Source organism: Homo sapiens, chromosome 21 (assembly GCF_000001405.40).
Source record: "Homo sapiens chromosome 21, GRCh38.p14 Primary Assembly".
Classification (NCBI taxonomy): domain Eukaryota; kingdom Metazoa; phylum Chordata; class Mammalia; order Primates; family Hominidae; genus Homo; species Homo sapiens.
This window is the reverse complement of record NC_000021.9, coordinates 20,037,492-20,048,656: the sequence shown is the minus strand read 5'-3', so window position 1 is coordinate 20,048,656 and position 11,165 is coordinate 20,037,492. Positions and strand designations below refer to the sequence as shown.

The 11,165-nt window shown below is 39.1% G+C and overlaps 2 annotated features.

The window, feature by feature from the left end:
* Positions 3,052–3,559: an enhancer, noted in NCBI's record as "H3K4me1 hESC enhancer chr21:21417411-21417918 (GRCh37/hg19 assembly coordinates)". NCBI's record gives its function as "activates a minimal SCP1, AML or CMV promoter by ChIP-STARR-seq in primed H9 embryonic stem cells {active_cell/tissue: H9 hESC(primed)}" and the evidence as "EXISTENCE:reporter gene assay evidence [ECO:0000049][PMID:30033119]".
* Positions 3,560–4,067: an enhancer, noted in NCBI's record as "H3K4me1 hESC enhancer chr21:21416903-21417410 (GRCh37/hg19 assembly coordinates)". NCBI's record gives its function as "activates a minimal SCP1, AML or CMV promoter by ChIP-STARR-seq in primed H9 embryonic stem cells {active_cell/tissue: H9 hESC(primed)}" and the evidence as "EXISTENCE:reporter gene assay evidence [ECO:0000049][PMID:30033119]".

Genomic DNA, 11,165 nt, shown 5'->3' with positions numbered 1-11,165 from the left:
GCTGTCGCCGTGGCAGACCTGCCACTGACTTCCACCCCTCCGGATCCGGCACGGTGTCTGCTGTGCTCCTGATCCAGCAAGGTGTCCATTGCCACTCCCGATCGGACTAAAGGTTCGCCATTGTTCCTGCATGGCTAAGTGCCCTAATTGAGCTGAACACTAGTCTCTGGATTCCACGGTTCTCTTCCTTGACCCACGGCTTCTAATGGAGCTATAACACTCACCGCATGGCCCAAGGTTCCATTCCTTGGAATCCATGAGGCCAAGAACCCCAGGTCAGAGAACAAAAGGCTTGCCGCCATCTTGGGAGTGGCCTGCCACCATCTTGGGAGTGGCCCGCCACCATCTTGGGAGTGGCCCGCCACCATCTTGGGAGCTCTAAGAACAAAGACCTGCCAGTAACACCACCACACATGGGGACTATGGGGGTTACAATTTGAAGTGAGATTTGGCTGGGGACACAAAGCCTAACCATATGATTTGTATTTCTGTGGGGTTGGTGGTAATATCCCCTTTGCCATTTCTTATTGTGTTTTTTTTTGGATCTTCTCCACTTCCGCCTTTATTATTCTAGCTAGCAGTCTTTTTAATTAATTTTTTTCAAAAAACAGCTTCTGGCTGGTTTTTCTTGCCTCAATCTCCAACAGTTCAGCTTTGATTTTGATTATTTCTTGTCCTCTGCTAACTTTGATGTGGGTTTGCTCTACTTCTCTAGTTTTTGTTGTTGTTGTTGTTGTTGTAATGTTGATTTGTTAATTTGAGATCCTTCTAACTTTTTGATGTCAGTGTTTAGTGATTAAATTGACATCTTAAGACTGCCTTAGCTGTGTCCCAGAGATTCTGTTATGTTGTATCTTTGTTCTTATTAGTTTCAAATAACTTGATTTTGGCCTTAATTTCATTATTTGCCCAAAAGTCATTCAAGAGCAGGTTAATATTCCAGTAAATGTATAGTTTCGAGTGCTTTTCTTTGTATTGAATTTTATTTTTATTGTGCTGTGGCCTGAGAGCATGGCTGGTATAATTGTGTCCTTTAAAAGTTCCTGTGGATTGTTTTATATCCCATTGTGTGGTTGATTTCAGAGTATGTGCTTGCTATATTCAGATGAGAAAAATGTATAATTTGTTGTTTTGGGGTGGAGAGTTCTGTAGATGTCTATCAGATCCATTTAGCCCAAAGTTGAGTCTAGGTCCTCAATATCTTTCTTAATTTTCTGCCTCAATTATCTGTCTAATACTGTCTGTGGAGTGTTAAAGTCTCCCACTATTATTGTGTGGGAGTCTAAGTCTCTTTGAAGGTCTCTAAGAACATGCTTTATGAATCTGGGTGCACCTGTGTCAAGTGCATGCATAGCTACGATAGTTAGTTTTCTTGTAGAATTAACCTTTACCATTATGTAATATCTCTCTTAGTCTTTTTTTTTTTTTTACCTTTGTTGGTTCAAAACCTGTTTTGCCTGAAATTACGATGGCAACCCCTGCCTTTTTTCTGTTTTCCATTTGCTTGGTAGGTTTTTCTCCATTGCCTTATTTTGAGACTATGGGTGTCATTGCATGTGAGAGGGGTCTCTTGAAGACAGCATACTGTTCAGCCTGACTTCTTTATCTAGTCTGGCACTCTGTGCCTTCTAACTGGGGCATTTAGCCCACTTACATTTAAGGTTAGTATTGATATGTGTAAATTTCATTCTGTCATTGTTTTGTTAGGTGTTTGTCATGCCAACTTGTTTGTGTGCTTGCTTTATAGTGTCACTGGTCTGTGTACTTAAGTGTGTTTTTTGTAGTGGCTGGTAATGGTCTTTCCTCTCCATATTTAGTGCTTCTTTCAGGAGCTCTTGTAAGGCAGGTCTGGTGGCAATTAATTTTCTCAGCATTTGCTTCTCTGAAAAGGATCTTATTTCTCCTCTGCTCATGAAGCTTAGTTTGACTGGATATGAAATTCTTGGTTGGAATTTATTTTCTTTGTGAATAATCAATATAGGCCCCCAATTATCATTTGACTTACAGAGTTTCTGCTGAGAGGTCCATTATTAGTCTGACAGGCTTCCCTTTGCAGGTTACCTGCCCTTTCTCTCTGGTAAATTTTTCCTTAACATTCTTTCTTCAATTTTGATCCTGGAGAATCTTATGATTGTGTCTTGGAGATGATCTTCTTGTGAAGTATTTTGCAGGGGTTCTTTGCATTTCCTGAATTTGACTGTTAGCCTCTATGGCTGGGTTGTGGAAGTTCTCATGGTTGATATCCTAAAATAGTTGGTTCCATTCTCCTCATCTTTTTCAGGGATGGCAATGAGTCATAGATTTGCTCTCTACATAATCCCATATTTTTTCAAAGGTTTTGTTCATTCCTTTTCTTTCTTTTCTCTTTATTTTTATTTTATTTTCTTATTTTAGAAAGCCAATCTTCAAGCTCTGAGACTCTTTCCTCAGCTTTGTCTATTCTGCTGTTAATCCTTGTGATTGCATTGTGAAGTTCTTGTAGAGTATTTTTCAGCTCTATTCAGTTGGTTAGATTATTTTCTACACTGACAATTTTGTCTTTTGGCTCCTGTATTGTTTTATCATAATTTGTAGCTTCCTTAGATTGGGTCTCAATGTTTTTCTGAATCTCAATGATCTTCATTCCTGTCCATATTCTGAATTCCATTTCTGTCATTTCAGCCATCTTAGTCCAGTTTAAAACTCCTGTTGGAGAAGTAGTATGGTCATTTGGGGAAAAGAAGACACTTGGGGTTTTTGAGTTGTTAGAGTTCTTGCACTGGTTCTTTCTCATCTTTGTGAGCTGATGTTCCTCTAATCCTTTAAGTTGCTGTCCTTTGGATTATTTTTAATTTTATTTGATGACCCTGGTGATTTGACTGTGGAATAAGGAGGTCTTAATTGACTGGCTTCATTACTGGAAGATTTTATGGGGTCAAGGCTCAGCTCAGGACTCCTGGACTGCAGGCTTTAACTCTGGGGGACTGGTTTGGGGCCCTAGATTTGATCTGTGGCACCTCATGGTTAGGAACCTATTGCACTGGAGAGGCCAAGGTGCTCCCAGACCACCAGTCACAATACTTCAATGTGTGTTTCTGGCCAGGGCACTTCACAGGGCAATGACAGCAAGATTCATTCTTGTTTGCATATGGCAGCAGAAGTGGCAGAAGTAGTGTGGTGGGGTGCATGCTCATCAGCTATAACAGTGTGCTAATGGGTATCAGGATGTCAGCCCCTGTGCACACGTTTGCAGAAGCAGTGGTGTCTTGGGGGTCAAGGGTCCGCTGTCAGTGACTGCATGTTCCCACTGATAATGGTTAGCACTGGGGTGGGGTTCTGGTGAGTAAAGGACTCTATGCATCCTTTCTGTGCCTTCATGCTGGCAGCAGTGTCCACTCAGGGCTATGGGTAGGTCAGCTGTTTTCTGTGCCTACTTTTGTGTGCCGGTCGCCCAGATGCAGTGACACGGTGCTGGCAGGAGCAGGGCTGGCAGGCTCTGTGCCCACCAGTGCTCTGATAACAATGGCAGTGCAGCAGGGGGAGAGAAGATGGAGGGGAGTGGGATGCACTCACACTGGCAGCAGTGGCATGGCAGGGTGCACATGCACAGACATGCTGGCAGGGAAGGGAAGGCTAGGTCCGCCCCCACACATGTGACAGCAAAGTGACGTGGGGTGTGGCCATGATGTGAGTGCCTGCAGGCAAAGCAGCATCTAGGAGGTGGTGGGGGTGGGGAGAGTGTAGGTGAACTGGTTTTAATTTGTATCTCTTTGATGGTTGGCATTCTCTCATGTGACTGTTGGCCATTTGTACGTCTTCTTTGGACTACAAAGGTATAATAATCCAAATAGCATTATATTGGAATAAAAATAGACACATAAATCAAGGTACCAGAATAGGGAACCTAGAAATAAAGCCACATATTTACAGCCAACCTATCTCTGACAAAGTGAACAAGAACATACACTAGGGAAAGAACACCCTTTGCTAGAAATAGTGCTAGGATAATTGAACTGTCACGTGCAGAAGAATGAAAGTAGACCCCTATCTCTCACCATATACAAAAATCTACTCAAGATGTATTCAAGACTTAAATGTAAAACCTGGCTATAAAAGTACTTGAAGAAAATCCCAAGAAAACACTTCTGGACATTAGTATAGTTTAAGAAGTATTGACTAAGACCTCAAAAGCACAGACAGCAAAAACAGAAATAGAAAGTGGGAGGTAAACTAAAAGCTTCTGCATAGAAAAAAAAAAAAAATCAACAGAGTAAACTGATACACTTCGGAGTGAGAGAAAATATTTGCAAACTATGCATCTGACCAATAACAAATATCCAGAATTTACAAGAAACTCAAAACAACAAAGAAAGAAACAAACAAAAACCCCAAATAATATAATTAAAAAGTGAATATTCCGTCTTTAAAAAAGAAGAAAACTCCTACATATGCTACAACATAGATGAATCTTGAGGACATTATTCTAAGTGTAATAAGCCAGGCACAGAAAGATAAATATTGCTTGATTTTACCTATAAGAGCTCCCTAGAGGAGTCAAAATTATAGAGACAGTGTTTAGAACGGTGGTGATTAGGGGCTGGGAGAAAGGGAGGATGGAGACTTAGTGTTTATTGGGTACTGAGTTTTAGGTTCACAAGATAAAAAGAGTTTTGGAGGTGGATGGTGGTGATGGTTGTACAACACTGTGAATATATTTAATATCACTGAACTACACACTTAAAATTAGTGTTAAAAGAAAACTTTAGACAAATTAAATTTAACAGATTTTAACTGAGCAGGGGGAAAAAAAGACTATTCACAAATCTAGCTGCCTCTAGAATCACAGCAGATTACAAAAATCCAGGGATGCCTCGTGGTCAGAACAAATTTATAGGCCGAAAAGGGAAAGTGAGGTACAGAAACAGCTGGATTGGTTACAGGTTGACATTTGCCTTATTTGAACACAGTTTAAACACTCAGCAGTCTGTAAGTGGTTGAGGTGTGGCTGCTGGGATGGACCAAGACTCAGCTATTGTTACAGACGCATACTCCTAAGTTAGGTTTTCAATCTTGTCTACCTATTGTTATGCTGCAGTTCATCCACAAGGACTCAAATATAGAAGTAAGGAGCCCTTCTCTGGCCATATTCTGTTCGCTTTAACATTGGTTAAAGTGGCAAATTTTGTTATGTGTATTTTACCACAATAGAAAATTAGGAAAGGAAGATAAATCACAGAGAAAATAATAAAATCATTTAAATGTAAATGATGATAAAAACTGCACCGTTATAAATAATAATAAGGCAAAAGTGCATTCATGTTTCCTGTAAACTTCAACTAGTTGGTGTAGATATGAAATGCACATTTTTCTTTAAAAATCCAAGGATATTTAAATCTTAATTTCTCATTAATTGTTTTATGTCCCATAGTTTTATCTGAGATTTTTGTATGATATTTATACAGCACATAGGCACATAGTTACTTGGTAAATGTTGCAAGGATTGTGGCTTACAGTCTTTGAGATCTGAACTCATCACTTCTCAAAAACATCAAAGCTCTCATTGCCTTCATTTTCTAAATTTGATGCTGCCAGAATGTTAAAAGTATGACCTATTCTTCATACAATCCTTTAGAACCATGTGTTATTGTTTAGTTGTTTGAGGTATTTCACTTTATTTTACTAGAAATAGGAGCTCAAATGTTTGTATATTACCTTTATTTCAGCATGGTATGTACACAAAAATGGGTGAGAATAAAACTATTTTGAGAAAAAATAATTACTATAGATATCATTGAAGCAAATCCAATAGTACACCAAAGGCTGCACGGAGGGTCACTTGAGCCCAGGAGTTTGAGGTTACAATGAGCTATGATATCGCCACTGCATTCCAGCCTGAATGACAGGGCAAGATCCTGCCTCTAAATAAATAAGTTAACCCCGGGAACTCATAAATGAGAAAGGAGGACCAAAGACCTAGTCTCAAGTGGAGACAAAACTGGATAAAAACTGGATTGCCAAAAAAGGAGAGGTCTTGAAAGTTTACGTAAGAGAATAAAACTAGAAGATCATGCTTTTTAGAGTTAGGAAAAAAGAAGCCTAGCACATTAAAATTGCTTTTCAAAGGTATACTTTTCAGCTTGGGAAAATTACTGAACTTTATGTTTCTTTAAAATATTGTGCTTTTACATATACATCTTTCTATCTTTCTGTCTCTCTGTCATCAACTGTCTGTGTCTTCAACCAACCAATCAATCAATCAATCAACCATCTACCTGGCTATCTGACACTTATGGCTGTATGTGTTTTTGCAGTTATGCATACACACAAAATCGATGGTACTTTGAAAAGTTTATCATATAGCCAAATTACTACCTTCTTATGAATTAGTATTAGAGAAAGAAAATTATATTATTAAAAAGAGACTGAGCAAGTACTTGGAGAAAAAGGTAATTAATATGTAATATCACTACTCCTTGATTGAAAACCTATTGGTTAGTAATTTCTGATCATGATCTTTCAACATTTTCAACAGTATTTTCTCTGTACAAGCCATGTAATAACTTAGATATAATTTTACATTTTTTAAAGTGTCTAAAATAATTTACTTATGGTGAAGTGTAATTGTATGAACTCCATATAGCAGACAAAACCAACACTTTTGGAAAGAATGTGTTAGTTTTTTAATGATGTTGTTTTCTGACGATTGGTAAAGAGGTGAACTGCACTGATCAGTTGGTTAAGTCAGTGTGTTAAGAAGGTTTTGTGGATTGCATAAAGAAAATATTTAACAACATTTTTATTAACATTGTTTTGATGAACTGGGAAAAATGCTTTATATTTCTCAATATAAAAATTCATTCTTGTGGATCTTTAGGGTGTTATAAAGATTTTGAAGGTCAAAAATTTTAAAGGTATCATTTGCATGGAATAAAATTCACCCTTTTAAAGTGCATAGTGCTATGAGTTTCGACAAATGTGTTAGTTGGGTAATAACCACCAAAATAAAGATATAATACATCTTCATCACTTTATAAAATTTCTTTGCACCTTTTATAGTAAATCTGCCTCCCCAACAAACAGTCACTGGCAAAAAATGATCTGTTTTCCGTCACTCTGACATTGTCTTTTCCCAGATGTCATATAAATAGAATGATGTAGTATGTAGCCTTTGAATTGGACTCCTTTTCACTTTGCATGACACATTTGAGATTCATTCATGATATTGCATATATCAGTAGTTCATTTATTTTAATTTCCAAGTGGTATCCATTGTGTGAATATAGAGTCTGAAGCAGATATTCGGCCTATTTACTAGTTAGTGGACATTTCTGTGTTTCAAGTTTTTAGAAACTATTAATTGCCAAATAAACATTAGCCACTATATGTGTTGGCATACAAGCTTTTGGGTAGAGATGGTTTTCTTTCTCCTGGGTAAATGCTTAAGAATGAAACCTGGGTCACATGGCAAGTGTGTAATTGAACCTATTAAGAAACATCCAGACCATTTTCCTAAGTAGCTGTAATTTTTGTTATTTCCATCAGCAATGTATGAGAGTTACCATGGATCCACAGCCTTGCCAGCACTTTGCATTGTAAGCCTTTTTTTCCTTTTTGCCCATCTAATAGGTGTGTATTTGGTATCTCACTGTGGCTTGAATTCATAGCTCTCTAACAGTAACTGAAACAGTCATATGCAAAAAAGGTCACCAGTAGGTGGAAGCACATGCCTTTGTGGGAAGACAGGGAAATAGTTTCTAAGGAGTTTACAATCATTTATTAAAAGAAGAATAAATTTAAATCTGCATGCATTTGTTAGGTAATCCTGACCTGTTTTTTATTCTGCTGGTTGATCAGGTTCAGTGTATATGTCGATTTATTTACCTTTATCTAGCTGACTCGGACAGATACTCTTTGCCTCCACTGGATTCCTAGACTATGTGCCCAGGTTGAGCAGAGCCTATTCAGCTTGCTTCTTGACTAGCTCTTTCTGAAGCATTGGCCTCTCTAAGGTGTAGGTGAAAGGTTAGTAAATAAAGGCAGAGATTCAATAAAATAGATCAATGCCTTTGAAACAAATTTCTTGGCAGTAGAAAATTTTTTTCAATAATAATATGAAATAAGTTATCATTAGTATTCTATTGGTTTGTATCAACAAGCTAAATAAGGTGCCTCGTATTCAAGAGTCCATGTATTCAATAAAAAAGATACTTTAGGGAGGACTTTCCCTGAGCTCTGTGATCATGATTAAGCTAAATAGCATAAAAACACTCAAGGGGCTGAATGTCTAGTGATATGTAGAAATACAAACACATAATTGCAATGACTTGTAGGTAGTCTTTAACACTAAGTTATTTAAAAAGTGCTCTGAAAGTATAATTAGGGTCAATTGATTCATCTTCAGATTGAAGAAAAAATTTTCTCAAGCATATTGCCTCTGAGGTTGGTCCTACTACATGATTGAGGAAGAGTTATAAGACAATGAGCCCTAAGAAATGGTTAGAAGGTACAAAAATACTCTGATGAGCAATGTGACAGAGTTGTGTAGCAGCCCAATGTGTGAAGAAAACAGAGTAGTGTTACTGGGTAAGAACGAGTAGGAGCTAGGCCGGGCGCGGTGGCTCACGCCTGTAATCCCAGCACTTTGGGAGGTTGAGGCGGGTGGATCACGAGGGCAGGAGATCGAGACCATCCTGGCTAACACAGTGAAACCCTGTCTCTACTAAAAATACAAAAAAAAAAATTAGCCAGGGGTGGTGGCAGGCGCCTGTAGTCCCAGCTACTCGGGAGGCTGAGGCAGGAGAATGACGTGAACCCGGGAGGTGGAGCTTGAAGTGAGCCGAGATCGCGCCACTGCATTCCAGCCTGGGCGACAGAGCAGGACTCTGTCTCAAAAAAATAAAGAATGAGTAGGAGCTAAAGACATTTGGAAACATGAACTTTTGTAGGTCCTTCTACAAAAATTAAGAACTCATACATTAATTTTAAAGATCAGTAGTTTTTACATTTTTTTTCTTAGAGAGTATCTCTAAAGTTTTGGTCTCCCTTCTTTGCAAAATGTATTTTTGAGAAAAATGTGGTATCTTTTTTTTGTGCCTCATTAGTTTGCTAAGGATAATAGCTTCCAGCTCCACCCATGTCCCTGCAAAGGTCATGATCTTGTTCTTTTTTATGGCTACATAGTATTCCAAGGTGTGTATGTACCACATTTTCTTTATCCAGTCTATCACTGACTGGCGTTTAGGTTGATTCCATGTCTTGTAATTGTGAGCCAAATGATGAGAACACATAGAGACACAGGCAGGAACAACACACACTGGGGCCTATCAGAGGGTGGATGGTGGGAGAAGGGAGAGGGTCAGGAGAAATAGCTAATGAGTACCAGCATTAATACCTGGGTGATGAAATACTGTGTACAACAAACCCTCATGACACAAGTTTACCTATGTAACGAACTTGCACATCTACTCTTGAACTTAAAATAAAAGCTTAAAAAAATTAAAAAAATGTATTTCTGTATTAAATACATTAAATGTGTGTACAGTTAATTGAACCACAGATGGCGCACTTAAACCCACTCATAACCTCTGGGGTGTTCTTAAGGTCCTGATGTAGTTATAGACAAAGGATTGAGTGTTTTAAGAAAACTGTTATTGCCTAATAAATGAAGAAGTAATTTAATGGCTAAAACATTGCCAAGAGGGAGAACAATATAAAGATAGTAGCACTTTTTTAAATAAAAAAAATTTAAACTCACACATGCAAAATATCTGGTATCCTTGAACTCAGCTTACTTATTGCCGATAAAAACATCATTAGTATTATCATCATTTTAAAAGTTAATATACAATTTGCCAAAATTTAAAAAACTAAGAAGTTTGCTTTTACACTTTTTTAGTTCAAACTGAAACACTTATGCTATACATAATTCCAGTAAATACTAGCCAGCACCTTTAAGTGAGTGTATTAGTCTTTTTTCACGTTACTGATAAAGACATATCTGAGACTGGGTAATTTACAAAAGAAAGGCGTTTAGCTGGACTTACAGTTCCACATGGCTGTAGAAGCCTCACAATCATTGCAGAAGGCTAGGAGGAGCAAGTCACCTCTTACATGGATGCCAGCAAGCAAAGAGAGAGCTTGTGCAGGAAAACTACTGTTTTCAAAGCTGTCAGATCTCATGAGGCTTACTATCACGAGAATGGCATGGGAAAGGCCCCACCCCCATGATTAAATCACCTCCCACCAGGTTCCTTCCAGAAGGCATGGGAATTATAAGAGTTACAATTCAAGATGAGATTTGGGTGGGGACACAGCCAAATCATATTATTCTGCCCCTTACTCTTCCCAAATCTCATGTCCTCACATTTCAAAACCAATCACACCTTCCCAACAGTCCCTCAAAAGTTTTAACTCATTTTAGCATTAACTCAAAAGTCCACAGTCCAAAGTCTCATCTGAGACAAGTCAAGTCCCTTCTGCCTATAAGCCTGTAAAATCAAAAGCAAGTTAGTTACGTCCTAGATACAACAGGGGTAGAGGCATTGGGTAAATACAGCCACTCCAAGTGGGAGGAACTGGACAAAACGAAGGGGCTACAGGCCCCAGCAAGTCTGAAATCCAGCAGAGCAGTCAAATCTTAAAGCTCCCAAATGATCTTCTTTGACTTCATGTCTCACATCCAGGTCATGCTGATGCAAGAGGTGGGTTCCCATGGTCTTGGGCAGCTCCACCCTGTGGCTCTGCAGGGTATAGCTTCCCTCCCAGCAGCTTTCAGGGGTTGGCATTGAGTGTTTGCGGCTTTCCCAGGCGCACTGTGCAAGCTGTCAGGGGATCCACCGTTCTGGGATCTGGAGGAGGATGGGACCTCTTCTCACAGCTCCACTAGGTGGTGCCCCAGTAGGGATTCTGTGTGGGGCCTCTGACCCCACATTTCTCTTTCACACTTCTGTTGCAGAGGTTCTCCATGAGGGCCCTATTCCTGCAGCAAACTACTTCCTGGGTATGCAGGCATTTCCATGTATCTTCTGAAATCTAGGTGGAGGTTCCCAAACCTCTATTCTTGACTTCTGTATACCTGTAGGCTCAACATCATGTGGAAGCTGCCAAGGCTTGTGGCTTCCATCCTCTGAACCAGCAGCCAAAACTGTACCTTGGCCCCTTTTAGTCACAGCTGGAGTGGCTGGGAC